The sequence below is a fragment of the Homo sapiens genome, chromosome 5 (genome assembly GCF_000001405.40).
Source record: "Homo sapiens chromosome 5, GRCh38.p14 Primary Assembly".
Lineage (NCBI taxonomy): Eukaryota > Metazoa > Chordata > Mammalia > Primates > Hominidae > Homo > Homo sapiens.
In genome coordinates, this window is record NC_000005.10 from 79913286 (window position 1) to 79939957 (window position 26672).

At 41.9% G+C, this 26672-nt stretch overlaps 2 long non-coding RNA genes across 2 annotated transcripts in view; both read left to right on the forward strand.

Annotated features, from left to right (window-relative positions):
• LOC105379048 (uncharacterized) overlaps positions 1-26672 on the forward strand; it is a 115841-nt gene that overhangs the window by 53425 nt on the left and 35744 nt on the right. The window lies entirely within an intron of this gene.
• The window catches only part of LINC01455 (long intergenic non-protein coding RNA 1455), a 31048-nt gene continuing 27669 nt past the window's right edge, over positions 23294-26672 (forward strand). The window contains exon 1 of the long non-coding RNA NR_131226.1: positions 23294-23595. This is a non-coding gene — a long non-coding RNA (long intergenic non-protein coding RNA 1455). The remainder of the gene's footprint in view (positions 23596-26672) is intronic.

Consider the following 26672-nt stretch of genomic DNA (forward strand, 5'->3'; position numbering starts at 1 on the left):
GCAAATGGAAGGCAAAAAAAACCAGGGGTTGCAATCCTGGTCTCTGATAAAACAGACTTTAAACCAACAAAGATCAAAAGAGACAAAGAAGGCCATTACATAATGGTAAAGGGATCAATTCAACAAGAAGAGCTAACTATCCTAAATATATATGCACCCAATACAGGAGCACCCAGATTCATAAAGCAAGTCCTTAGAGACCTACAAAGAGACTTAGACTCCCACACAATAATAATGGGAGACTTTAACACCCCACTGTCAATATTAGATCAACGAGACAGAAAATTAACAGGGATATCCAGGACTTGAACTCAGCTCTGGACCAAGTGGGCCTAATAGACATCTACAGAACACCCCAAATCAACAGAATATACATTCGTCTCAGCACCACATCTCACTTATTCTAAAATTGACCACATAATTGAAAGTTAAACACTCCTCAGCAAATGTAAAAGAACAGAAATCACAACAAACTGTCTGTCAGACCACAGTGCAATCAAACTAGAACTCAGGATTAAGAATCTCACTCAAAACCGCAGTACTACATGGAAACTGAACAACCTGCTCCTGAATGACTACTGGGTAAATAATGAAATGAAGGCAGAAATAAAGATGTTCTTCGAAACCAATGAGAACAAAGACACACTGTACCAGAATCTCTAGGACACATTTATAGCAGTGTGTAGAGGGAAATTATAGTACTAAATGCCCACAAGAGAAAGCAGGAGAGATCTAAAATGGACACCCTAACATCACAATTAAAAGAACTAGAGAAACAAGAGCAAACAAATTCAAAAGCTAGCAGAAGACAAGAAATAGCTAAGATCAGAGCAGAACTGAAGGAGATAGAGACACAAAAAATCAATGAATCCAGGAGCTGGTTTTTTGAAAAGATCAACAAAATAGATAGACCACTAGCCAGACTAATAAAGAAGAAAAAAGAGAAAAATCAAATAGATGCAATAAAAAATGATAAAGGGGATATCACCCCCGATCCCACAGAAATACAAACTACTGTCAGAGAATACTATAAACACCTCTATGCAAATAAACTAGAAAATCTAGAAAAAATGGATAAATTCCTGGACACAAACACCCTCCCAAGACTAAACCAGGAAGAAGTTGAATCTCTGAATAGATCAATAACAGGTTCTGAAATTGAGGGAATAATTAATAGCCTACCAACCATAAAAAGTCCAGAACCCGATGGATTCACAGCCGAATTCTACCAGAGATACAAAGAGAAGCTGGTACCATTCCTTCTGAAACTATTCCAATCAATAGGAAAGAGGGAATCCTCCCTAACTCATTTTATGAGGCCAGCATCATCCTGATACCAAAGCCTGGCAGAGACACAACAAAAAAAGAAAATTTTAGACCAATATCCCTGATGAACATTGATGTGAAAATCCTCAATAAAATGCTGGCAAACCTAATCCAGTAGCACATCAAAAAACTTATCCACTACCATCAAGTTGGCTTTATCCCTGGGATGCCAGGCTGGTTCAACATATGCAAATCAATAAACATAATCCATCACATAAACAGAACCAATGACAAGAAACATATGATTATCTCAATAGATGCAGCAAAGACCTTCGACAAAATTCAACAGCCTTTCATGCTAGAAACTCTCAAAAAACTAGTTATCGATGGAACATATATCAAAATAATAAGAGCTATTTATGACAAACCCACAGCCAATATCATGCTGAATGGGCAAAAACTGGAAGCATTCCCTTTGAAAACCGGCACAAGACAAGTATGCCTTCTCTCATCACTCCTATTCAACATAGTATTGGAAGTTCTGGCCAGGGCAATCAGATAAGAGAAAGCAATAAAGGTATTCAGATAGGAAGAGAGGAAGTCACATTGTCTCTGTTTGCAGATGACGTGATTATATATTTAGAAAACCCCATCATCTCAGCTCAAAATCTCTGTAAGCTGATAAGCAACTTCAGCAAAGTCTCAGGATACAAAATCAATATGCAAAACTCACAAGCATTCCTATACACCAATAATAGACAAATAGAGAGCCAAATGATGAGTGAACTCCCATTCACAGTTGCTACTAAGAGGATTAAATACCTAGGAATAAAACTTGCAAGGGATGAGAAGGATCTCTTCAAGGAGAACTACAAACCACTGCTCAAGGAAATAAGGGAGGACACAAACAAATGGAAAAACATTCCATGCTCATGGACAGAAAGAATCAATATTGTGAAAATGGCCTTACTGCCCAAAATATAGATTCAATGCTATCCCCATCAAGCTACCACTGACTTTCTTCACAGAATTGGAAAAAAACTACTTTAAACTTCATATGGAACCAAAAAAGAGCCCACATAGCCAAGACAATCCTGGGCAAGAAGAACAAAGCTGGAGGCATCACACTGCCTGACTTCAAACTTTACTGCAAGGCTACAGTAACCAAAACAGCATGGTACTGGTACCAAAACAGATATATAGACCAATGGAGCAGAACAGAGGCCTCAGAAATAACAGCACACATTTACCACCATCTGATCTTCGACAAACCTGACACACACAAGCAATGGAGAAAAGATTCCCTATTTAATAAATGGTGTTGGGAAAACTGGCTATCCATATGCAGAAAACTGAAACTGGACTCCTTCCTTACACCTTATACAAAAATCAACTCAAGATGGATCAAAGACTTAAACGTAAAACCTAGGACCATAAAAATCCTAGAAGAAAACCTGGGCAATACCATTCAGGACATAGGCATGGGCAAAGACTTCATGTCTAAAACACCAAAAGCAATGACAACAAAAGCCAAAATTCACAAATGGGATCTAATTACACTAAAGAGCTTCTGCACAGCAAAAGAAACTATCCTCAGCATGAACAGGCAACCTACAGAATGGGAGAACATTTTTCCAATCTATCCATCTGACAAAGGGCTAATATCCATAATCTACAAAGAACTTAAACAAATGTACAAGAAAAAAGCAAACAACTCCATCAAAAAATGGGCAAAGGATATGAACAGACACTTCTCAAAAGAAGACATTTATGCAGCCAACAGGCATATGAAAAAATGCTCATCATCACTGGTCATTAGAGAAATGCAAATCAAAACTACAATGAGATACCATCTCACACCAGTTAGAATGGCGATCATTAAAAAGTCAGGAAACAACAGATGCTGGAGAGGTTGTGGAAAAATAGGAATGCCTTTACACTGTTGGTGGGAGTGTAAATTAGTTCAACCATTGTGGAAGACAGTGTGGCGATTCCCCAAGGATCTAGAACTAGAAATACCATTTGACTCAGCAATCCCATTACTAGGCATATACCCAAAGGATTCTAAATCATTCTGTGATAAAGACATACGCATACATATGTTTATTGTGGCACTATTCACAATAGCAAAGACTTGGAACCAACCCAAATATCCATCAATGATAGACTGGATAAAGAAAATGTGGCACATATACACCATTGAATACTATGAAGCCATAAAAAAGGAGGAGTTCATGTCCTTTGCAGGGACATGGATGAAGCTGGAAACCATCATTCTCAGCAAACTGTCACAAGATCAGAAAACCAAACACCACATGTACCCACTTATAAGTGGGAGCTGAACAATAAGAACACATGGATACAGGGAGGGGAACATCACACACTGGGGCCTGTGGGAGGCAGTGGGCTAGGGGAGGGATAACATTAGGAGAAATACCTAATGTAGGTGACTGGCTGATGGGTTCAGCAAACCACCATGGAACGTGTATACCTATGTAACAAAACTGCAAGTTCTGCACATGTAACCCAGAACTTTAAGTATAATAATAATAAAAAAGAATTCTCACAACTCAATAGTAAAAACACAACTCAATTTTTAAAATGGGCAAATGGACCAATAATGAGTTCTGAAATTGAGGCAATAATAAATAGCCTGCCAACCAAAAAAAGCCTAGGACTAGATGGATTCACAACTGAATTCTACCAGATGTACAAAGAAGAGCTAGTATCATTCCTACTGAAACTATTCCTGAAAATTGGGAAGAAGGGATTCCTCCCTAATTCATTCTATGAGGCCAGCATCATGCTGATACCAAAACCTGGCAGAGACTCAACAAAAAAGAAAACTTCAAGCCAATATCCTTGATGAACATTGATGCAAACATCCTCATTAAAATCCTGGCAAACTGAGTCCAGCAGGATGTCAAAAAGCTTATCCAGCACAATCAAATAGGCTTCATCCCTGGGATGCAAGGTTGGTTCAACATACACAAATCAATAAATGTGATTCCTCACATAAAGAGAACTAAAGACAAAAACCACATGATTATCTCAATAGATGCAAAAAAGGCTTTCGATAGAATTCAACATCCCTTCATGTTAAAAACTCTCAATAAACGAGATATTGAAGGAACATACCTCAAAATAATAAGAGTCACATATGACAAACCCACAGCCAACACCACACTGAATGGGCAAAAGCTGGAAACATTCCCCTTGAAAACCAGCACAAGACAAGTCTGCCCTCTCTCACCACTCCTGTTCAATATAGTATTGGAAGTTCTGGCAAGGGCAATCAGGTAAGAGAAAGAAATAAAGGCATTTAGATAGGAAGAGAGGAGGTTAAACCATCCCTGCTTGCAGATGACATGATCCTATGTATAGAAAAACCCATCGTCAGCCCAAAAGCTTCTTAAGCTGATAAGCAACTTCAGCAATGTCTCAGGATACAAAACTAATGTGCAAAAATTGCTAGCATTCCTATATACCAAAAACAGTAAAGCTGAGAGCCAAATCACAAACAAACTCCCAGGCACAATTTCCACAGAAAGAATAAAATACCTAGGAATACAGCTAACTAGGGAGGGGAAAGATATCTACAAGGAGAACTACAAACCACTGCTGAAAGAAATCAGAGGTGACACAAACAAATGGAAAACATTGCATATTCGTGGATAGCAAGAATCAGTATCATTAAAATGGCCATAGTGCCAAATCAAATTATAGATTCACTGCTATTCCTGTTAAGCTACCATTGACATTCTTCACAGAACTAGAAAATACTATTTTAAAATTCACATGGAAACAAAAAAAGGGCCCGAATAGCCAAGGCAATCTTAAGCAAAAAGAACAAAGCTGGAGGCATCACACGACCCAACTTCAAACTATACTACAGGGCTACAGTAACCAAAACAGCATGGTATTGGTACAAGAACAGACACATAGGCCAATGGTACAAGAACAGACACATAGAACAGACACAACTTCCCTAGGACAGGGAAACCAGAAATAAGAGCACACACCTACAACTATCTGATCTTTGAGAAACCTGACCAAAAAAAAAAAAAAAAAAGCAATGAGGAGAGGAAAGGATTCCCTATTCAATAAATGGTGCTGGGATAACTGGCTAGTCACATGCAGAAGATTGAAAGTGAACCCTTTCTTTACACCATATACAGAAATTAACTCAAGATGGATTAAAGACTTAAATATAAAACCCAAAACTATAAAAACCCTGGAAGACAACGTAGGAAGTTCCATTCAGGACACAGGCACAGGCAAAGATTTCATGATGAAGACACCAAAAGCAATTGCAACAAAAGCAAAAATTGACAAATGGAATCTAACTAAACTACAGAGTATCTGCACAGCAAAAGAAACTACCAACAGAGTAAACAGACAACCTAATGGGGGAAAATTTTGCAGGCTATGTATCTGAAAAAGGCCTAATATCTGGCATCTATAAGGAACTTAAACAAATTTACAAGAAAAAAACAAAAGTCCCCCTAGAAAAGTGAACAAATGACATGAACACTTTTTAAAAGAAGACATACATGTGGCCAACAATCATATGAAAAAAGGCTCAACAACACTGATCATTAGAGAAATGCAAATCAAAACCGCAACGAGATGCCATCTAACACCAGTCAGAATGGCTGCTATTGAAAAGTCAAAAAATAACAGATGCTGGAGAGGTTGTGGAGAAAAAGGAATGCTTATACACTGTTGGTGGGAGTGTAAATTAGTTCAGCCATTGTGGAAGACAGTGTTGCAATTCCTCAAAGACCTAAAGACAGAAATACTATTCAACCCAGCAATCCCATTACTGGGTACATACCCAAAGGAATGGAAATCATTCTATTATAAAGATACATGCATGTGTATGTTCATTGAAGCACTATTCACAATAGCAAAGATATGGAATCAACCTAAATGTCCATCAGTGATATACTGGATAAAGAAAATTTGGTACATATACACCATGGAATACTATGCAGCCATTAAAAAGAACAAGATCATGGCCTTTGCAGGGACATGGATGGAGCTGGAGGCCGTTATCTTTAGCAAACTAACACAGGAACATAAAACCAAGCACCTCATGTTCTCACTTATAAGTGGGAGCTAATGATGAGAACACATGGACACATGGAGGGGAACAACACTGGGGCCTTTTGGAGGATGGAGAGTGGGAGGAGGGAGAGGATCAAGAAAATCAACTAATGGCTACTAGGTTTAATACCTGGGTGATGAAATAATCTGTGCAACAAATCCCCATGATGCAAGTTCACCTATGTGACAAACCTGCACTTGTACCCCTAAACTTATAAAAAAATGGGCAAATGACTTGAATAGAAATTTCTCCAAGAATACACACTAATGGCCAATACATACATGAAAAGAAGCTCAACATCATTAGTTATTAGGGAATTTTAAACCAAAACCCAATGGGATACCACTTCTCATCTACTAGGATGGCTATAATAAAACAGACAGATTCTAATAAGTGTTGGCAAGAATGTGGAGAAATTGGAACCCTGAAAACATTGCTGGTGGGAATGTAAAATGATGCAGCTTCTTTGGAAGACAGATAGGCAATTCCTTAAAAAGTTAAACGTAGAGGTAGCACATGGTCCAGCAATTCTACTGCTCAGTATTAACTCAAGAGAAATGGAAAAGCATATGTCCATACAAAAAACTTGTTCATAGCAGCATTATTCATAATAGCCAAAAACTGAATATAATTTAAATATGCATCAACTGCTTAATGGTGTATAAACAAAATATGGTATATCCATTCAGTGCAATAGTATTAATTTTTTTAAAAATAACATACTGATACTGGCTATTACATGGATGGAACCTTGAAAACTTCATGGCACATGAAAGAAGTCAGACACAAAAGCAATATGTTATATGATTCTATTGACATGAAAAACCCAGAAGAGGCAAATCTATAGAGACAGAAAGTAGATTAATGGTTTCCAGGGATTAGGCTGAGGAATGGGGAGTGACTGCTGAAGGGTACAGGTTTCTTTCTGCAGAGAAATAAATGTTCTGGAATTAGGTACTGGTAATAGTTGCACAACTTTGTAAATATACTAAAAAAAGCCACTGAATTGTACACTTAAAAAATAAAAATGTTGGGAAATTTTTAAAAAACCATTTTTTTTTAATTGCACAGATACTTTATATCTTTTTAAAAACCCAGAAAATATACCATACAAAGAAGTTAATGATCAATTATGCTACCACTCCGAGATATGGGCTGTTAATATTTTGTCTTATATCCTTCCATATTTTTTAAATTTCTTTTTCTCTTATGAAAAATAATAAGTACACAGAGAAATATCAAATATTTCTAAGCCACTGTTCAATTGTCATCTCGAACTTCCCTCTGTTGTTATCCTTGCCATTCCCTTTGCCATTTTCATGGCTGTATTCTCTGTGTTCTTGATTTCACATCTTCTCTCTTGCTTTAATCTCTTGTTTGGAGGGTAGGAGGGAATGGGTGACAGTCTGAGCAACAGGCCTGTCTCAGGTCACACTAATGTATTTTGGGCTGGTGGCCCTCAGCCTCTAGTGCCCAGTGGATGTCCTGGGATCTTGCTTTACCATCATCCTGGAGAGCCCCTTGTTTCTCTCCTGTGTTGGATTTCCAGTTTCCTTTATACCAAGTCTTCCTCTGTCTGAGTTTAATCCTTTATTTTGGTGTAACAATCCTCCTCTAGAGTCCTGAAAAAAAGATGCATGGAAGGTAAATTTTTTGAGGCCTTGCATGTTTCAAAATGTGTCTATTCTGTGCTTATACTGAATGCTAGTAAGGAAAGATTGGAAATGCTGGCTCAGGGTGGTAAAGGTGCTGCTTATTACTGTCTGGCTTCTAGTGCTGGCATATGATGCACTGTCCAATCTGGAAAATCATGTGCTTCAGGCTGGGAACTTTCCCTGAATCATTTCATTGGCAATTTTCTCCCCTCCCCTCTGTTTTCTCAGTTTCTTTTTTTTTTCTTTTTGGAATTTCTATTCTTTTGCTTTTGGATCTCCTAGACTAATCCTTTAAATTTTCTCCTTTTTTGTGTGTGTATTTCTGCTGGGGTTCTACTTTATCTTCCATCCCTTCTAATGACTTTTCTTCTTCATTTTGCTATCACCTTTTTAATTTCCAGGAGCTCTTTGGTTCTCTGAATGTTCCTTTGCCAGGAGTGAGGGTGGGGTTGGACACATATAATGTCCTGTTCTAATTTTACGAATGCAGTATCTTCTCTTAGCTCTCTGATGACATTCCTGGAAATTGTTTGTTTTTTAAGTATTCAAATTACTTATCAGATACAATGTCCACTATTTGGGTAATGGGTACACTAGAAGCCCAGTCCCCACCAGTATGCAATATACTTGTGTTACAAACAAGCACATGCACCCCCTGAATCTAAAATAAAATAAAAAGTATTCTCCCCATTTTTTGAGTTGCTTTTTCTCTTTTTGTTTGTTTGCATCTATATCTTCCAAATTAAGGACTTTCCTTAGAAGTCTAGTATTCTTCAATTGACTGCTTATGATTTAGAGTTGAGGACTGACATGGTTTGGATGTGTGTCCCCTCCAAATCTCATGTTGTAATGCAATCCTCATTGTTGGAATCACTGGTGGGAAGTGATTGGATCACAGGGGTGGATTCCTCATGGATGGCTTAGTGCCATCTCACTGGTGATGAGTGGGTTCTTGCTCTGAGTTCACACAAGATCTGGTTGTTTAAATGAGTCTGGGACCTCTCCCTTCTCTCTCGTCCTGCTGCTCTCACAAGGTGACATGCTGGCTCCCCTTCATCTTCCACCATGATTACAAGTTTCCCAAAGCCCTCACTAGAATCAGATGCCAGCTCTATGCTTCATGTACATCCTTCAGAACCATGAGTCAATAAACCTCTTTTCTTTATAAATTGCTCAGTCTTAGGTATTTCTTTATAGCAACGCAAAAACAGACTAACACAAAAACTGAAAGTCTGCTTGGGAGCTCTGAGTATGTAGTTTGAACTTGAGAAACCTACACTTTACTGTAGGGTGATGTGAGTAACCCATTTGTTGGGGAAGACCTACCTTAGGTCTTTCCTTTGGACTGGCAAAATGAGCCAGAGAGTTTTCTATCTCCTTCCAAGATGGTAAAGGTCTGAGTGTCATCATTCTGGCACTGAGTGAGGGAAGGGCTGGGAGTTTCTACATTCAGCACTGAGAAAATATACAGTCACTTAATTCCCTATTTCAGGTACTCACTGTGCCTGTCAATCCATTAACACCCCCAGTTCCAGAAGAGTCTGGTACTGCTTGTTCCTGTGACTTTCGGTTGAATTCTGAGCGTATACCAGCTCTGGTTTAAGATTATTCTTTCCTAGGTTTAAGAAGGAAGAGTTATTATGACAGAAAAGCTGAGAGCAAGAATCAAATATTAGCTTTGACATTTCAAAAATATAAACCCTAAAGGACCCAGGACATAAAGTTTATGACACTATGCAGGAAAAAGTATCTAAAACTTAGAAATAAGGCAAATCTAATGGCTGCATGCCATTTCTAAATAGTCTGTGAAGGGTCATCTGATTCACTCAGGGAAAGTGCTTTTGACCATGGTCTACACATGTCTTCATCCTGAAAAGTCAGAGATGAACTTGTAGAAAAATGATAAGGTGTGGTGATTTTTGAGGGAGGAGAAGGCAGCTTGGTAGAGAAGATAACTCCAATGCCTGCATTTGTGCGTGTGGTTTTTTTTACTCTATAGAGCATTAACTTGTTTTGTATCTATTTAGCAATCTTATTTCTATATTCCTTTCCCCACTAGCCATGTAATCCCTGTTCCTCAAATTTTTTTCAAACTAGCTCTTATTTTGTTACTGGTTCCTTCATGAGCTTGTCATCTATATGTATGAGAATTATGTTTCTTAACAGTTTGAGAATTATGCTTTAACACCATGTCTTAATCCATTTTGTGTTGCTATAATAAAGTACCTGAGACTGCATAATTTATAAACAAGCAATAGAAGTTTGTTTGGCTCATGGTTCTGGAGGCTGGGAAGTCCAACAGCATGGCACTGGCATCTGGCAATGACCTTTGTGCTGTATCATCATCCCATGGCAAAAAATGGAATGGCAAGCATGTGCCCAAGACAGAGAGGGAAGGAGGCCAAACGTTCACAGTAACTAGCCCACTCCCAAGATAATAGCATTAATCCATTCAAAAGGGTGGAGCTCTCATGGCCTAATTACTTCTTAAAGACCCCACCTCTCAACACTGTTAGAATGGCAATGAAATTTCAACAACAGTATTGGAGGGGAAGTAGAAGAGAGATGTCTACATGGAGTGCCTGGGGAAATGGGTCTAACCCAGCATCCCAGAGTTTCTGTGGAGCCCAGCATGCTTAAGGGATCAGTCAAATGTTTCCCATGTATAGAAGTAGCTAAAGGAGAGCTGACCTGATGCAGCCTTGTGGTCATGATAAGGAAGACAACCCGTGTGGACCCAACAACTAAGACAAAGCTGGAATAAAGACAAGTCAACACCTGTCTGTATAGATTAATGATGGGAAACCAGATATCCCCCAACCTGGCCTCATGCCAGTATGATCTGTAAGTGTCTGGGAACTTAGATGTGATCCCAGGAAATGAGAAGAAATCATAGATTCACTGTGATGAAGTTTGCTTCAGTCAGGATAATGGGAGCTTTAAATAGAAATTGAATTACAATATATAAATAATTTACCTTTTTTAAAAAGTGGATTATACTGTACTTACTATTGCATATTCCACTCAATAGTATAGCATGACTATCTTTATAGGTCAATAAATCATCTACTACATCATTTTTCTTGTTTCTTTCTTTTTCTCTTTTGAGACTGGGTTCTTGCTCTCTTGACCAAACAGGAGTGCAGTGGCACAAACATGGCTCACTGAGGGCTCGATCTCCTGGGCTCAAGCAATCCTCCTACCTCAGCCTCCCAAGTAGCTTGGACTACAGGTCATCTCTCTGTTTTTTGTAGAGAGGTTGGGTTCTCACCATACTGCCCAGGCTGGTCTCAAACTCCTGGTCTCAAGCAATCCTCCCGCCTTGGCCTCCCAAAGTCCTGGGATTACAGATGTAAGCCACTGCGCCAGGCCAACAACACAATTTTTCATTGCTACATAGCATTCTACCATGCAAGCTAGTTTAATAATTTAGAAAAACTATACACATTTCTCCTTCCTACTGGTAGACACAATTAGTCTCAATTATTTTGGTTATTAAGTCCTTAGTTAAAAGAACATAGACTTGGTGGAAAGAACCCTAGACTGAATGGTCCCCAACCAACCACTGTTAGTCAAGGTTCTGGTGACCAGAATTGGCAAAACCAAGTTAACTTCTTTTTCAGAAAGCCCCTTAATGAAGCTGATCATATTTAATCTTGGCTGGCCATTCCGGAGCAACACTGATTCAGCTCCTTACGAGGAGAGCTCTAGGAATGGAGAACACCTGTTAGGGGATGCTCCGTAATGTGTGTCTTAAGTGTAATAGCAAAAAGCAACTGTCTACCCACCCCAAGTTCTGTGTTCATGCAGCCAGCCACTGGGAGGCAGAGATGTGCCTGCTGGCTGCAGGCTGGTGCTGGGCTCCTTTTAGTCTGTAACACAAACTAATAAATGGGCTTGCTTTAAAAGACATGGGGGAGACTGATGTGGGCTTCCATATTTGAAGAAAGTACTTTTCTCCTGATGTAGACAGAGATACCAGTGTCTAAAGAGTTTCCATTCCGTGGTGATACTTGCAATACCCTTGGCAACCCCTGAAATTACACAGGGGAGCAGAGATCTCAGAGTTGATCAGTCGCCTGTCAGTTACCCCAGGATGCTGGCTTTCATCATTTCCTATTTTTTTTTGCAGGGAGCATGGGGAGCTTGTATTTACCACAAATCAAAGCTCCTCCCATAGAGATCTATTATATGTTGGGGTATTGTTATTACTGTGTTGTTGTCGTCATTGTTCGTTTGCTTGTTTTTGTGCCTGTAGCTTTGGAAAACCACAGTGTGTTTGGATCAAACAGCAGCATTTTGATCAATATGATCTGGTCAAAACAGATTTCTATTTGTTCTTGCTATTTTGTACATTTTATCCTAAGAATCAGAAATAGATAATCTATTCAACAAGGTCACAAGAAACTTTTCGAAAGCTTGTTCCAGTGATAGAAACAAAATACAAATGCTTGGTTTCTCTTTGTAAGAGAAACAAATGTCATTTTCCCCGCAAGTGTTGAGAGAAAAAAAAAAAGAATATTTACAATATAAATTCTGATACTAAACCAATTACAGGCAGAAATGTGACTATTGCACGCTATTTTATTGCTTTAATAGCATTATGTTATATTCAGGGCATATTATCTTCATTAGTTGGAAGAATAAAATTAGAATCATATGCAGACTTTCTTAGTAATTCATTTAATTTCCTGTTTTCTATCTTTTTGGTGACTTCTGTAGAAGGACTACTTAAAAAGTTTCCCCTTTGAAAACGGCCCAACAAGGAAAGAAAACTTCTATTTTAATGCTTTGTGACTCGGTGAGAAGAATGCATTTCATGAAGTCTAACTTCCATTCCAAACAGTGACCAAAGTGGACTGGGGTGAGAGAATGTAGTAAGGGCAAGGTGGTGGGTGTGAGGGGCAGAGGTTAGGACTCATGTGCTTCATAAAACATAGTGACAATGTGTTTTCCGTGCATTAAAGGCTAAAATGAGTAACGTGAAGCCCAGTTGTCTTAACGGGGTCAGAAAAATAACATCAACTTCAGAAACCGAACAGTAGTAGGCAACTCATACACATCAGAATATGAAAATTATCACACCATTAAGGATTTTAGAAAATAAGATAGCTCTTCCCCTGCTTGGAACAGAAAACCTAGGCTGGCCAGAGGAACAGATTTCAACTTTCCAATCCTTCCCTTCCTGCCCCGCTAACCACACAGATCCCATAGCCTGGGACAATTGGCATTGGTGACAAAGGTAGTTGAAATGAATAAAACAGCTTTATCCTTGATACCTATGCCATGCATTCCCAGAAGACTCTGGCCTTTCCAGGCTGTCTTCCACTTCTTTCCCCCTACTTTCCTTCAGGAAAAAAGGAGGAATCCAGAGAGGTGAACAGTGGGCTGCTGGGAATATTGTCTCCATTTACAAAGTAGAAACCCTTCAAGAGATGACCTTCGGTGACCCTATTGTTAAACGTATTATACCTTGTGGGAGACAGTGGTGTTGTCTGGGTTTGAAGTACAAATGTTGTTGATTCCAAGGGGATGGGCATCTTTGCTAAGAATAAGACAAGGAGCTATATCTATGCTTCATCCCTACCCCTCCCCCTTAAAAAAGAACTGGAATACAATTAAAGGGCACATGTCATAAAATCTGATTTGGAGAATACATGATGAAATTCTATCCTCAAGAAAAGAAAATGTTCTGTTTTTCCCATTATAAATGCCTTTAGTTCCTGCCAAACCTCTTCTTATCCTGAATGTCTTAGAATATCTTGGTATAACACAGCACAGATAGGGCAGCACAAACACTGAGTTATAATTTAATTCAACATATACTCATGGAGAAGAGTTATACTAAGAATACCTCCCTCAAGTCCCTTCCCCTGCCACCCATAAAATAGTTCATGATATTAGGAATCTTTTTTAAAAAAATTATCCCATTAAAAAAAGACAGTAATGTTTCCATTTGGACTTTGCCACAGCTACACTGGGCTGGAAGTGGAAAATGTGGTCAGTCTTTCTCATGATAGGGCAGATTCTCATGGCCAGTCCTGGGCATCAAGGTGGTATTAGGAACATGCAGAGGGGCCAGCCTGGCCATGTCACTTCCTAAGGCCAGCTGGTTGTGAAAGACCTAGAGGGTGGGACTATTGGTACCTGCCATGACATAGGCAGTTAATAAATGTTCAATGTTGAGATAATCCGTTAGGATCTGAAATCTCAAAATCTGAGTGATCAATATTCACTTTATTGGCCTATAAAAATAAATTCATGGAGGGGGGTTGGGGAGAGATCAGTCAAAGGGTATAAAATTTCAGTTAGGAGGAATAAGTTCAAGAGATCTATTGTACAGCATGGTGACTATAGTCAAGAACATGTGTTGTATACTTGAAAATTGCTAAAAGAGTAGACTTTAAGTGTTCCCACCACAAAAAAATACATAAGTATATGAGCGAATGCATATATTAATTAGCATGTTTTAGCCACTCCACAAGGTATACATATTTCAGAACATCATGTTGTTTACCATCCATATATATGTATCATTTTTATTTGTCAATTAGAAAAAAAACTCACCCCTTCATAAACTGGCTCAGAGACATTTGAGGACTTGAATATTCATGTAGTAGAGGAGGTTTAAATCAAGCAAAGCTCTGTTCTTTTTTAAACATGCAGTCCTTTTATTGTGCTGTTCTTTTTTTTTTTTTATGACTTTGATTTCTCCTTGCATTGCCTTAGTCATTTGAACAGAAGGGCTCCTTTCTAATGCTCTTTGAGTCTCATGCAGAAGGCTCCATTCAGCACCTGTACTTTGCACAGGGGCGAGGGTATCTGCCACCCTAGGATCCATGTCTGTGTCCAAAACTCCCATAGCAACTCATGTGAATGGCACTGGTTTTCATTTCTCTCTTTCAGGCATCCAAGGAAGAAATTACTTTTTTCCCCAAACTCATTTTTAATGTTTATACTTTGTCTAGTACTTCTTTACATGTGCCGTGGGAGGGGGCATATCTACATCAGCTCAGGCTCTCTTTACTGAAGGAAGTTGTTTCCAACTGCTTTACATCATGAAAAAGATTCCACTGAATTCAGAGACCTTGTAGGTGCAAAGCCTGATCTTTAAGGAATGAATTGCAACAAAATCAATACAGCTTAAAATATAACAAAGTTGATATTGATCATATTAACTCTGTTTCTGCATTCTAGACTCCAAAAGCTAGATTCTCACACCATCATCTGCTAGGTACCATGACTTCCAGGAAGAATTCTATTTCTTAGAACCATTAGAAAGACTTTCATCACTGGAAGAGAAATTTAGCAGCCTTCAAAGCCAGACAGGTAACACAGATGTGTGGGTCTGGCTGGGTGTAAGACAACAAGGAGTGGTGCCGACTATAGTAAAATAGAAACCTCGAACCCCTTCTAAGAGGTATTCAGATTCCATTTTAAAAACTACTGAGGTCCAAAAAAATCAAGTGCAAGCTGAATTCAACCCAAAGCACACCAGCTTACCAGCACTAATTAGTCTGATGTTCTTCATTATGTAGGAGGAAATGAAATTTAGACAGAATGAATAAATTGCTCAAGGTCATACTGCAATTTATTGAAAAGCCAGGACCAGCCTGGCCTCAGGTTTCTAATTCCCAGATGCAGCCCTATCCCCTGCCCCATGCTATCTCTGGCTCCTAAAATGCCCCTTTAAAAATAAAAAAGGACCCACTTGCATGTTGCTCTCATTAAATTAAATGTCATCAAACTCCTTTTCCCCAGATTTCCTTTAGCAATAAATTCTGAATAACATTAGAATATGGATAAGTTGGTCAAAAGCCTGAGCAGAAGGGAAGGCCAGGCCTGTTTGAATGAAAAGGTTGATTGCTGTTACATAAGTGTGTAGCTCAAATTTCCCCAACTTAGCAATGAACCTGAACAACCACAGAAAGCCTTGTAAATCACTGAGCAAGTCAGAAGCTCACACCTGTCTCACTCGGAGAGGGCTCCAGAAGCCCTGACACCATCACTTTGCAGTCACGGTGTGGCTAGGGGCGAGACTTTCTCCTACAAAGCACCCTGAGTAATGATTTTGGTCTGATCGTTGAAGCCTGGCCAGAATCACTTCTGACATATGGACCCTGGTCGGCCACACTGTGTGACCTGGTGCAGGGCCAAAATTGGCTTTCAGACTCTCAGAGGCATTATGTCTGTCCTGAAAGAGTTTGAGTTGCCAGGAAAGGGGCAGGTGGTGTAGTGGCAAGAACATACTTTTGGAACAAGACAGATGTACTTCTGAATGCCCTCCCTACTGCTTCTTTCAGTCAGTCAACCAACATTTCCTGTGTGCCCACTGTGTGCCAGGCACTGTTCTACACCCTGAAGAGACAATGGTGAGCCAAACAGAAAGTCCTTGCCTTCTGGAAATTTACATTTCAGTTGGGGGGAGATGGATAATAAATAAATGATTCGGTGATCTAGTGCGTCAGAGGGTGATGGGTGCGAAGGATGAAACTAAGCAGGGATGGAGAATGGAGAGTGCAGTGTAAATGGTGTGCTCAGAGAAGGCTCACTGAGCAAGGACTTGAAGGAAGTGAAGGAGTGAGCTATGGAGATATGCAGGGGAAGGGCTCCATGCAAAGACCCTGAGTGGGGAGCATCCATGGAGTGTTCAGGGAACAAAGAAGCCAATGTGTCTTGAGGGGGCCAGGTGGCCTGCAAGTGGCAGGAGACAGTTGATAGAGGCAATGAAAGGTGATCAAGCCACTGCCAGCACTCACCTTGAGTGAAATGGTCAGCTGCTGTGGAAAATATCTGGAAGAATTTTCTGATGGATTGAATGAGGGGTCAGAGAAAAAGAATTACCAAGAATGACCCAAAGTTTTTCAGCTTAAGCAGCTGGAAGAATGGAGCTGCCATTAACTGAGCTAGGAAGTCTGTGGGAGGAACTGGTTGTAGGGAGAGACAGAGAGAGGACCAGGAGTTCGTTTTTGGAAATATTAAAGGAAGATGATGAATAAACAATCATGTATGAGTCTGAAGCACATGAGAGAGGCCTAGATGGAGGATATAAATTTAAATGGTATTTAAAACTGTGGAACTCAATGGCATCATCAAGACTTATGGTAGGCAGGGAAGAGAAGAGGTTCCAGGACCCAACCCTGGGACAGTTCAACTTGCAAGGTGCAAGCTGCCATGTGGGAGCTGGGTGGCTACAGTGGGTGCCCAGGTCAGAACTGAGGCTGAGGTAACAGTCGAACCCTGCTCCAGGGACAGCTATCAGTAGAAGGGGGCTACCTTCTTTCAGGGACAGTATGTAGACAATGACTGGCTCATCCGGGGTGCAAAGCCCCACCCCCTTACCTCAATTTACAACAACTCTGAGAGGCTTCCCTAGATCCAGAGCACCCCATGGTATCAGCTGAGGCCACTGTTTCACCTGCCTTTCTGTTCACCTCTCCCTTGGCCTGCCCCTCACAAGGATGTGTTTTTTAAGAGCATTCCCATGCACAGATTTCCATTGCAGTCAATTTCCCAGGGAATCTGTCCTAAAACAGTGGCTTTGGGGCATAGCACTTACTTTACAGTTTGCTCATTTGTCATGTGATAATTCTATCCACCTGGCAGGATTGTTGTAGAGATAACAGACTGATATGCAGAGTACCTAGAGCAGTGCCTGGTTAATCACAGGCCTCAAACATGGGGAGCTACTCTCTGAGAATCAAATTTTCATTATTCCACCTTCTCAAACTTGGAAGATGAGACAAGGTGCCATCAAAGTGCTCAGGAGGGCAGCCTGTCTTCTCCCTGACTCCCTTGACTACATGCAGATGCTCCTTGTACGTGCTCTGACAGTACCCTCCACTTCTCATATCATAATTATATGTATGCTATTCTAGATTGCAGTTGCGTATTTCATTTTCTTCCACTCCTCTTTCCTGTAAGCTCCTTGCCTGCCTCCTCCATGGTTGTAGCGCCAGGGACGAGGACATTGTAGGTATTCCACAAATATTTATTGAATTGAACTGACATCTGCCTGAGTGTATGGACTGAGGCCTGGTTTGACTCTGCTGTGGGAATTATGTATAGACTGAGGCCTGGCAGAGTTTGCTCTGGGAATTATACACACAAATGACCTAATGAAAAATTTGGTCTGGTTTTCTGAAGTCCCAAGAAGACTACACATCTAACGATCCATCCATCTATCCATCACCATCCAAATTATTATATTATAGAGCATATATTTTTATAGAGCACTACTCTGTCAGGCCTAGAAAGGCAATAGTGAACTAAATTGTATAGTTACGCAATAAGATAAGCAATGAACAATAAGCCCAAATAATTAAACAACCATCAAACCTGCTGTGGAGAAAAAAACAAACAAAACAGGGAGAGAGTGGGCAGGAAACCTCATTTAGGCAGAGTCATCAGAGACTTCTAGGAAGAGAAGAAACTTAAGATGAGACCTGGAAAATGGGTAGAAGCCAGCCATGGGAAAGGCAAAAATGTTTCACACCAAGAAAGATCTTGAGAGGGGGAAAGATGTTGATGCATTAAGAAAAGGAGAGAAAGCCAGTGCGCACGGAACAGAGTGAGGGAGGTGGAGGCTAAGCTGGAATGTCCAAGGTTCACACTGAGCCTTGGACATTCCATGCAGAGCAGACACAGCCTAAGTGAATCATTCTTCGTCCCATCTAAGAGAATGAATTGCAGGGGAGCAAGGGTGTGGGTACAAGGAACTAGCTAGAGGCTGTTGGAAGAAATGATGACAGTGCAGATAGAGAAAAGGACATCTCTTCCATATGTATTTTGAAGGGGTCATGATGGGGCTTATTAATGGGGGAGATCAGGGAAAAGAGTGACTCAAGATTGGCCTTAGGTTTGGGGCTTGACCAACCAAGTGAATGGTGATGCCAGCTGCAGACATGGCAGAGGCTGAGGGAAGAGGGCAGGACGTTAGGAGGGAACTAAGAGTTCCTTTTTGGAAATACTACATTTTGGAAACTCCAAAGCCTGCAGTGGGACAGCCAGCTACAGTCATCTCCCTTCCTGGTTCTGTCCCAGAAAAGAACGGAGCCCAGACTCTCTTGGGATTTCCTGAAGTTCTTGGGGCCCCAAGGAATCCTGAGAAGAAAAGGCCTGCAGTGCTGGTGGTGAGTAAGCACCTAGAGAAGAGAGCATACAGCAGCATAATCTCCAGCAAAGACCAATACTCAGTGTTCTTGGGAACCAAAGCGCAGGAACTTAAACGCTGATGGCTAATGACCAGGAGGAGAGGTGATACCCAACCAGGAAAGCAGCAGCCGTCCAGCTCTTGGCACGTTGCCTTCAGTTCCATGAAGGAGGGTCCCTCATCCCACATGCCACTGGAATGGAAAGCAGATTTGAAAGCAAGCACAGGCCTGCCAGCTGAGTACCATTCAGACATCTGCCTACAATCAGGAGCCTCCTGCTCACGACTGGCTTCGTGCTAAGAAAAGCACATTTCTTCATTGGCCACTGGTGTGTCACATCCACAAAGTATGTGTTGAGGCTTGCTGAGCTTCTGGGGGTTTAGGATGGACAAGGAGAGTGGCTGGAGCACTGTCCCCTAGCTCAAGCCTGGGGGATGCAAGAGCACTGAGACCACCAGCCACTTGTTTTCAGGCAAGTGTCAGGAGCCACTCACATCCTAAATGCCCTTTGGCTGTGAGCACCAAAGAAATCCCGCCACTGGTCAGCCTGGGTCATAGAGCCCTGGGGACCTCTCTTCTTACCACTGTGTTTTGGCCGGTTCTCAGTGCAGCTCAAGAGTGCAGGGATAAATGAAATCTTCTATTTACTTTCACTCTACTGTGCTGGTGAGATTGTTTTCAAACACTACCCCACCATCACTGTTTTGCCACTGTGTTAGGACTGTTCTCATTAGCCATGAGAGACTTCAGAGGCAAATGGACAATGGCAAAACCATATATAGAAATTGAACTCTGACCCCCAACCTGCAGCAACCTCCCCAAGGAATCCACCCCTTATCTACAATAAACAGCCCAGGAAGCCAGCCTGCTGTAGGTCAAACCTCATAGGAAGCCACGTTGCTATCTCAAGTGGTAATCCACTAAGCTAAACAATAACCTCTGTAACAATAAGCCCCAAATGGCTAGGATTTGATGAATAACCAACAGGCTTTCTCATTTTTATCCCTGCTTCCAACTCAGGACCAAACGGGGAAAGCCAAATAGGCGCCCCTAACCAACCGCATAGGATACCTCACTTGTAGTTGGCCTACCTGCAGTTTTGCCATGCCAACAGCCTCCAATCATTCCTGAAGCTTTCCCTTTTTTCCACTCTCAAGCTTTCCTACTCCTCTTCCCGCCTTTGAGTCTTTGCCCAAACATAAGTAATGGTTGCTGATTCCCTTGCTATAGCAAGCTCTGAGTAAATTACCTTTGCTTTTCTCATTTGGTTGGTCTGCATTTACTTACACAGCCATTTATTGACTTTTCCTTTATGAATTTCCAAAAATGATTTAATAGTGCATTTGGGTAACCATATTGAGCCCCAGTGTAATGGTTACAAATTAAACTGCTGTATCAAAAACACCCCACACCATAGCCCAAATATGACAGAAGTTCAATTCTTTCCCACGTGCCTGTCTGCAGATAAGGGGTGGTCAAGGGTTTGGAGGGGAACACTATTCCTGAGGCCAGTCAGGGACACAGACTTCCTTTTCCTGGTTGCTCTACTGCTCCCTGGGATGTTATGCTCACCCATACGGTGGGAGCCGGCTCCACCCCACCATGTCTGTGTTCTGGTTACAGGAAGGAGGAAAAGAGGATGAGCTGCTTCCCTTTGAAGGATGTGATCTGGAAGTTGTACACATTGCTTTCTCTTACAACTGGCCAGACTTAGCCACATGACTTCAACCCGCTGCCATGGAGGCTGGGAAATGGAGTCTCTACGGGTGCCTTGCTGAAACTTGGTCTTATTACTAAAGCAGAAGGAAAGAAAGTAGATATCGGAGGGCAGTTGATGGGCTTTGCCGCACCCACATGATGCTGGATACTGAAAGATGCAAATTATACATCCTTTTTGCCCTTGGAGGTTACCGGTCAGTGACGATTCATGTATAGGGTGAAGACTAGATCTTCTAGCCAGGCATTTAAGGCCTGCCACACCGATTACCACACTTATCCTTTCTCCAAAGATCCCCCTTCTCTTCTGTGTGCTCCTGCCAAACACGGCCATCCTGCCCTGCCTGCCCCAACCCAAGCCATCTTGCTCCTTGTACTGTGGATAAGAGCCATTTCCAAATTCAAATTAACTCTTTTACAACATGTATTCCATCCGATTATTTAATGAGTTTTAAAGCCCTGCCCCTCCATGCTGGTGAGGATGAGGGAGAGGGTGGCGGAGATTTCCCCACCATGGCACTGACTTCACGGTGTTGTCACTAATTCTTCATTGTCTGCTCTTTTGCCTAATTGTGAATTCAGCCAGGAACAACAGCCCAAATTTTCCAGGTGCTGTCATTGGAGAAAAGTCTCTCCATACAATGTGGACTGCTCTTAACTAACCCTCTTATTCACCTGAGGGCAGTCCCTGCGAGTCCAGACAGAGCACTTTGGAGGAATGATGGAGAGGTTTAAGCTCATCACATCACAATCTATGTGAACCAACTAGAATATCACAATCTCTGAGAAGCTCCTGGGGTGCCCATACATGAATTAAAGCTTCTCCCCTGTAGAAAGGGGGCAGCTCTCAGGTCCATGAGGTCTGGCCACTGGCATGTGACTTTGATGTGTTAAGCCTGTCCCTTGGAACAGCTTGTTCTGTAGCTTATTTTGACTTGTCACAGACTAATCCCCTCCCTTTAGATCCCATCTCTGAATTCACAGCCATTCCGGGGATTCAGTGGTCTCTGCTCATCCCACCACCACGGAACTTCAAGCCAGGCCATCTCAGGCCTGTGTGGGTCCTGAGTGGTTTGGAATCTCTTCAAATCAATGAAAGATTTATTCAACATCTATTTAGAGAAGAAGACTAATGAGCAGCTCTGTGTGGCAGACTGGTGAATATGGAGGCTTCCTGGTGGTGGCATTCTGCCTCTCATCTATGGGTGTAAGCAGTTCAGCTCTGGCCTCAGCTTGCATCCTCTGCTCGGGCAATAAGCCCTTCGTGTAAGTTTTACTTGAAAAAGCCCCTTAACTATCTCAACATCTCCCCTTTAATTACCCTCCAGCAGCTGATGAAGTGATTGTTCCATTTCTCTTCCTGAAAAAGAGCTATGGGAAATACTATTTTCTCCATCCCATTCCATTTCCAGGAATCTTTTAACATATTTTATAGATTGCTGCCATGCCCCTAACCCAGATCTCACCTCAGACAGCTTAGCTTCGCTACTGCTCCCTCGGCCTGGCTGCACAGCCCTGCCCCACCAGCGCCAGCCAGAGCTAATGCCTCTTCTGTTTCTCCTACTCCCAGCCCAGCCTGGGAGCCTAGACTTGCGATTGTCTTCCTTCCATCATGTACTACCTTGGCAGATGGGTGGGAAAACTGAGCAGGAAAAAATCACCTGTATATTATGCCTCCTGGCCTCCAAAGAAGCAAATTAGGGTTTTAAAATAGGTCAAACTGGGCTTGAGGAGGAGTGGGAAGACTGCCAATTACAATCTCTCAACTCAAGGTTGCTTGTTAAAAAAAAAACAAAAAAACTAAACAAAACTGGAACTGTTTCCATTTTTAAACAAAGTGAACTTTTGATGTTAATTCTGACCTTAAAAAAAAGGAAAAAGAGAAAGAAAAGAGATGTCTTTCTCCTCATGATTTCAATTTCAAGAGTTGTGTGAAATCAAGCCCTCAATAGTGCTAGGGTGTAGGGTGGAGGCATTTTCTGATTCACATCAGCCCCCAGCTGCTTGAGGATTGTGAAACCCTGCCTGAGTTTCCACAGCACACCAAATCCACAGCCTTCTCTGGCTCTCCCTTCAAGCTCTCCCCAGCTCTATCTACGTAGTCTCAGTAATTTGGGGTGGAAGTTATTTAGCAGTTTCCTTACAATTAAATGATTACATTGTTCATATTTCCACACCTGCAAATACCCGAGAGAGTCCCAATCTATTTCAATTATCCCACTTATTAGCATTTCCAGCTTTTCCCATTTGCTAATAAGAACCGGAGCTCTGGGTTGAGGTAATCCCTTCAGAAGTTAAATCATTTTGTGTATTCAGTAACCAGTCTGGGATTATGACCACACTCCACTGACATAACAGAAACATAAAGATGATGAATAGAAGTTGCATGCTTTGCAACTGCAGAAAATAATTTTGGCTTATCCGTCTCTCCAAACAGACTATATATAATTTTTAATATCTGAATTTTAAAGGCAAAGACCAAGATGGTTGAGGATTTGTTAATGACAACATATTTAGTATAAATACTGCTCTATGAATCACTATACTGGTAGGAGCAGGAAGAAGTGGGGAGATGGATAAGAGAAAACTGGAGAGTAGGTGGGAGAAAAAGAGGAATGTGTGGGCTGTTTGAGAATGTTTCAGGCAAGCACCTGGGATAAGGTGCGTCTCAAACCCATGCTGATTCTTCATCATGGTGAGTAGGGTGCTAGCATTTCCCCCTTGTCCACCCCCTTCCCTGCCCCACCCACCACCACACGGAGATGTCAGACTTCCATTGAGGCAGGGGTGTGCTATGTCTTCTGGTTCTTCCAGGAGCCCATGAAATTATATACCTTTCAACACTAGTGCTGCAGGGATATGCACCCAGCAAAGAGGGAAGGCGGGAGTAGTGACTCATTCATGATGAAATTTTTACAAGTCTAAAGTGAAGTGAGACAAACAAGAATAATTATTTATATGTGGATAGATAGATAGATGGATAGATGGATGAAAGGATAGGTAGATGGATGGATGGACAGGGAGAGACAGAGAGAGAGAATGAAATTGCTAACACATTTTGGGAAAAAAACAATTGAGGTTATGCTTTTTTCTTTTTCTTAACTCTTTTTTTTTGTTTGTTTGTTTTTTTGAGACAGAGTCTCGTTCCATCGCCCAGGCTGGAGTGCAGTAGCACAATCTTGGCTCACTGCAACCTCCACCTCCCAGGTTCAACTGATTCTCCTGCCTCAGCCTCCTGTAGATGGGATTACAGGGGCATGCCACAATGCCGGGCTAATTTTTGTATTTTTAGTAGAGACGGGATTTCACCATATTGGCCAGGCTGGTCTCAAACTCCTGACCTCATGATCCTCCCGCCTCAGCCTCCCAAAGCCAGATTATGTTTTGATCACTTACTTGGGGTCAACAAGTTCAGCTATGATAAAGATATGACAGAGGGGCTTTTGGTTTTTGTTTTTAGTTAATCTGTCATTTGGCAAAATTAAAAGTTGACTCCCTATGTAGGTCCCCTCTTGACTTGTTTTTTGTTGTTGTTGTTTTTGAGATAGAGTTTCACTCTATCCCCCAGGCTAGAGTGTAGGGTGTGATCTCGGCTCACTGCAACCTCTGCCTCCCAGGTTCAACTGATTCTCAGGTCTCATCCTCCTGAATAGTTGAGATTACAAGCATGCGCCACCACCCCTGGCTAATTTTTGTATTTTTTGTAGAGAGGGGGTTTTGTCATGTTGGCCAGGCTGGTCTTGAACTCCTGACCTCAAGTGATCCGCCCACCTCAGCCTACCAAAGTGCTGGGATTACTGGCGTGAGCCACTGCGTGCAGCCTCGACTTGTTTTTTATATTTTACTAATTTGGGTCTGAGAAACCACTGGCCTAGAGTTCCATTTATCAGTGGGCTTAATGGGCCTGGGCCCTCCAGAGGGCACAAACACCCAGATGTCCTCTGAGCTTGATTGGAGGATGCCTCACCCTGCCTTTGATCGTTTTCTTTGGTGAAGGCAGCCATTTGGCATTCTTTGAAAATGAAGTTTACAAAAAGACTAATTAAGCTCCAGGGAAGCAAAGGGACCTCAACCACAAAGCGCAGCTGAATGCTTCTGCCATACATTACAATATTAGAGAAAAGTGAGGATTTAGCAAGTTCTCTTTCTTACAGAATCATGATGAGGCCAGGTTGATAGGGGAATTGCTTTTATATTTGATTTCCTTGGTGGGCCGCCTAAACTGTTTGAATACTTAAAGATAATTGCCCAAGCAATGTATCACAAAAAGGTGTTTCTTTTTTATTGTTTGTGTGTCTCACAGTGGCCAATGCAGATATACTCTTAGCCATATGAATCCAGTATCTACTGCCACGATAGCAACTGCATAACAACCAACCACAAAACCTCAGTGGGCACAGGTTTGCTCACAAGTTTGCAGACAAGGTGATTTAAGTTGGGCTCAGATGGGCGGTCCTTCTGGTCCCTGCTGAGCTTGCTCACCCAGCTCCGACTAAGAAGACTCAGCTCTGCTGCCCCTAGGTCTTGCTCCTTGAGGCTAGCTTGGGCATGTTCTGGTAATGACTGCTGAGGAGCAAGGGAGTGAGTGCAAAGGCACAGACACTCTTGCCAGCCTCTGCTAGTCTCCCATTTGCTAACATTCCACCAACTAAAGCAAGCCATATAACTTGGTCCAGGAACAGAGGGAGGGGGTGCTATGGAGTTACCAGGCAAAAGAGGTAGACACAGGGAGGGGTAAGGAATCGGGACCATTTTTTTTTTTCTTTCTTTTGAGACAGAGTTTCACTTTTCTTGCCCGGGCTGGAGTGCAATCTTGGCTCACCGCAACTTCTGCCTCCTGTGTTCAAGCGATTCTCCTGCCTCAGCCTCCCGAGTAGCTGGGATTACAGGCATACACCACCACGCCCAGCTAATTTTGTATTTTTAGTAGAGACGGGGTTTCTCCATGTTGGTCAGGCTGGTCTTGAACTCCTGACCTTAGGTGATCCGCCCACCTCGGCATCCCAAAGTGCTAGAATTACAGGCGTAAGCCACCACGTGCTGCCAGAATTGGGACTATTAAAGCTATCAATCATGCTACACTTGTTAGGTTCCTATTAAATGTGAATCTGAATTTGGGAAGGCACAGAAGTCTTAAAAACTACACTTTTTTTTTTTTCACTTCTCTGCCACCCGCTGTGCTCCCCTAACAGGCAGAACCATGAAGCTTGCATAAGGTGATGGAAGTGTTTGTGGATAATTATTCACCAATAACAACCACAAACACCTCCCTGCAATCCCTCAAGATATGGAGAGGAGATGCAGCCTTCTATTGCTGTTTTTGTGAAATAAAGGTGTCCTTCCCATCCCTACACACCAACATTTGCAAAGTGTTTACACACAAAGCTGAATCAAGCAGCACATCTGTTGCCAGTCTTCCACAGCTGTGTTATTGTAGCAGCACGGTTGCCTCTCCACCTTCCACCACCCTCAGCAGAATCCTTGAGTGCCTAGAGGCTGGGCGACAGCATTGTTGAGCGGAGAAGCTACTCCAGGGGTGGAGAGAACAGCGTGGAGGGCACGGGGCCTCATGGAGCAATGCGCCATTTGGATTTGGTCTCAGGTTCTGTCACTTCCTGGCTCAGGGTCTTGGGTCTCTTTGATTTCTAGTAAGTGTAGCCAAACTCAAACAAGGTTAAGATAAGGGGGTGTCTCATGGGATCCAAGAGTGGGACCATAGGCCGGGGTGGTGCCTCATGCCTGTGATCCCAGCACTTTGGGAGGCCAAGGCGG